Source organism: Homo sapiens, chromosome 13 (genome assembly GCF_000001405.40).
Source record: "Homo sapiens chromosome 13, GRCh38.p14 Primary Assembly".
Classification (NCBI taxonomy): Eukaryota; Metazoa; Chordata; class Mammalia; order Primates; family Hominidae; genus Homo; species Homo sapiens.
In genome coordinates, this window is record NC_000013.11 from 30,824,969 (window position 1) to 30,828,286 (window position 3,318).

Below are 3,318 nucleotides of genomic sequence, written 5' to 3' on the forward strand. Positions count from 1 at the left end.
TGAGACGAGACCCCGGGATCACAAGAAGTCAGAGGTGGGGCTGGGCACTGCATGTGCCAACAGATTTATACTCTGGCTTCACCTTGGCGCTGCCTGCTGGTCTCCCAAGCCCAGATGCCCCCTCATCTTTCCTGTACAAGGGCCCTGTGGGCACTTTGTACCTCCTTCCCCAATTGAACCAACCTTGAAATCATTTGTTAACACTACTGTCACCCACCAGACCATGGGCTCCCCAGGATGGAGGCCGTGTCTGATTCATCCTTGTTTTTAACAACGAATACAACACTCAGGTCTAGAGTGTGTGGCTTTTATTTAGTGTTTGTTGTGTGAAAAAAATGAAGATATAAATGGAAGGAAAGGGTTGGGGTGAGGGCATGGGACTTCACTCTGACAGTCATCACGTCTGGTTCTAAGATCTCCTCTTTCTGCTCCCATCTCTGAGCAGTCCCTACGGGGTACATATGAACTTTTATGTCTCTTTCCTAATCCTTCTTAGTCCCAGAGAAGAAGTGACAGGGGCCAGGCAAGAGGACAAATGATCCACTCCCATATTTGTTAGGATGGGCTAGGTTATACCGTGGTAACAAATAACTACCTGAATCCTGGCATCTAAACGAAAAAAGCTGCTGGGCACAGTGGCTCACGCCTGTAATCCCAACATGCTGGGAGGCCAAGGCTGGTGGATCACCTGAGGTTAGGAGTTTGAGACCAGCCTGGCCATCACGACAAAACCCTGTCTCTGGTAAAAATACAAAAAATTAGCCAGGCATGGAGACAGGTGCCTATAATCCCAGCTACTCAGGAGACCGAGGCAGGAGAATCGCCTGAATCCGGGAGGTGGAGGTTGCAGTGAGCCGAGATCATGCCTCTGCCCTCCAGCCTGGGCGACAAGGGTGAAACTCTGCCTCCCAAAAAAAAAAAGAAAAGAAAAGAAAAAGAAAAAAGCACTTAAAAATGTTGTTTGTTTATTAGACTGCTTATTGTAAATGTTTATCACAAACTGGCTGGTTCTCTGCTCCACGTCGTTTTCCTTCTAGCACCCCAGTGTCGGAGAAACTTCCATCTGAGATGTTATTGATTGACAGCACAGAAGTCAAAATACTGCAGCAAATCACTCTCGCTCCTGATATTCTCTCACAGAAGTGACACCATCTCTGTTCACATTCCCATTGTCGAGACCAAGCCACACAGTCACCTAATCTCAGGGAGCTAGGAAATGCAATTCTGCCATGTGCCTAGGAGGAGAAATGAAAATATTTGGTGCAAGGTGCCAACAAGTACCAAGGCTCAAAAATTGAGATCTATCTGTCTATATCTAGGGCTCTCTCTCTTTCTCTGTCAAATGAGACTTCCTGCCACACTTTCTATTGCGCCGAATCCCATCTCACTACGCTATCACCTCTCTATAGCTAATCTATCATCCGTCTATTTATTTGCCTATTTCAGTAGCATTTGTTTCCTCACAGCAAGGTGTCTCTCCGGGTTCTGGGGAATTCTGCTAATGTCCTCATCTCCCATGGCAGGGTCCAACTGTGTGATCCTTAACACACCAGTTAAGTGTTAGGTGGGAGCTTCTTTTCTCCAGGTTTACTATCCCCCTTTAATACCTCTTGCTTCAAAAAGACCCCCCAAATTAAGGCAATTGGTTGGACGCAGTAGCTCATGCCTATAATCCCAGCACTTTGGGAGGCTGAGGCGGGTGGATTACCTGAGGTCAGGAGTTTGACACCAGCCTGGCCAACATGGTGAAACTTCGTCTCTAATGAAAACACAAAAATTAGCTAGGCATGTGCCTGTAATCCCAGTTATTTGGGAGGCTGAGGCAGGAGAATCTCTTGAACCAGGAAGGTGGAGGTTGTAGTGAGCAGAGATCATACCACTGTACTCCAGCTTGGGAGACAGAGTGAGACTCTATCTCAAAAAAAAAAACAAAACAAAAAACGAAAAAAGGCAACACCTGGGGTTCTCCATACGCTCTGACCGAATCCTCAGACAGATCATGAGAATCATCTTCTGCGAGGGGGACTATCCCTGGCCTCACTTGATCAATTATATTTCTCAACTCCTCGTGCCGGATTCTGGGCTTCCCGCACCCCCAGGTGTAGTGTTGTGGAGACTGAGAACAGGCACAGAAAGTGCTAACGGCCTCCTGGGCATGCTAGTGGCTAGGCTGGGTTTCGGTCAGTGCCGGAGCCAGGCCGCTGTAAGATTCAGGCCCGGTCTGCAAAAGGCCTGCTTCTCTGGCCTGAACGGTAAATGAAGCCTCAGCCCTCCCGGCCTCTCCCCTGTGTGCCTCTGTCTCCGAGGGTCTCCCTGATTTGGAATCTTACCGCTTGTTCTCTTTAGACTTACCTCTTAGTTTTTGGCCCTGGCTCAATACCCCTGCCCCATTCCAAGGACAGATCCCAGGGAGTGGCTTGGGGGACTTTAACCCTCTCCCTAATAATCTCCATCTACTTTATTCCCCCACCCCCACCTTACCTCTCTAAAGAAAATACCATCTAAATAACAATAGTTCACCTGCTGAGAAGTCAACACTTCAAGACAGGCCTTCAGGACCCTCATTCTAACCAGGGTATCACTTTTAAGCCCCCTCCTATAAGTAAATTGTGGGTCACACATACACTGGGACTCAGTTACTTGACACTTTGTCTTGATGGTTCTGACAAAAAGCTGTGACGTGACCCCAGTCCACCCAGCAAGGATGGGTCTGCAAAGGTCCAGGTCCCTGACAGCTGAGAAGAGTCTGTGGGAGCCTCTTGTCTTGTTGGAGAGGTCTAGAGAAGCAGACATGATGAGACTACTCTTCCCTGGTGGGTGATGAATTGAAGGGGGAGGAGCGCATATCTCTTAAAGCAAAGATTCTCCAAGTGAGGTCCCTGAACCAGCAGCATGGTCGCCACCTGAGAACTTGTTGGAAATGCAGATTCTTGGGCCCATCTAGAGGTCTTGAAAAAACTGTGGAGACAGGGAGCAGCCCTCTGTGCTTTAGGCAACTCTGATGCTGATGGCATCTGAGAACCACTGGCTTTGGCTTCGGCCGGTCTCTGGGTCTCCTGCAAACACATGGCGTATCTCTTACAACTCACACTGTTAGGCCGACCTCAGCCCTACTAGGTCGGAACCTCTGAGATTTCCCCAGGAGTTTTCACTTTAATAAATGTCCCTGGGGACGCTACTGTCATCAAAGGTTGCAGAAGACACAGGTTAAAAAAAAGGCCAAGAGGTCCAGGGTCTGGAAGGGTGGGAGTTCTGGATTTGGAAGGCTTAGGAAAGTCAGGGAGTTGCTCTAACTACAGGAGACCAAGAAAGAGAAAA

The 3,318-nt window shown here is 48.5% G+C and overlaps 1 annotated feature.

The window, feature by feature from the left end:
• Positions 2,316–2,960: an enhancer, noted in NCBI's record as "NANOG-H3K4me1 hESC enhancer chr13:31401421-31402065 (GRCh37/hg19 assembly coordinates)". NCBI's record gives its function as "activates a minimal SCP1, AML or CMV promoter by ChIP-STARR-seq in primed H9 embryonic stem cells {active_cell/tissue: H9 hESC(primed)}" and the evidence as "EXISTENCE:reporter gene assay evidence [ECO:0000049][PMID:30033119]".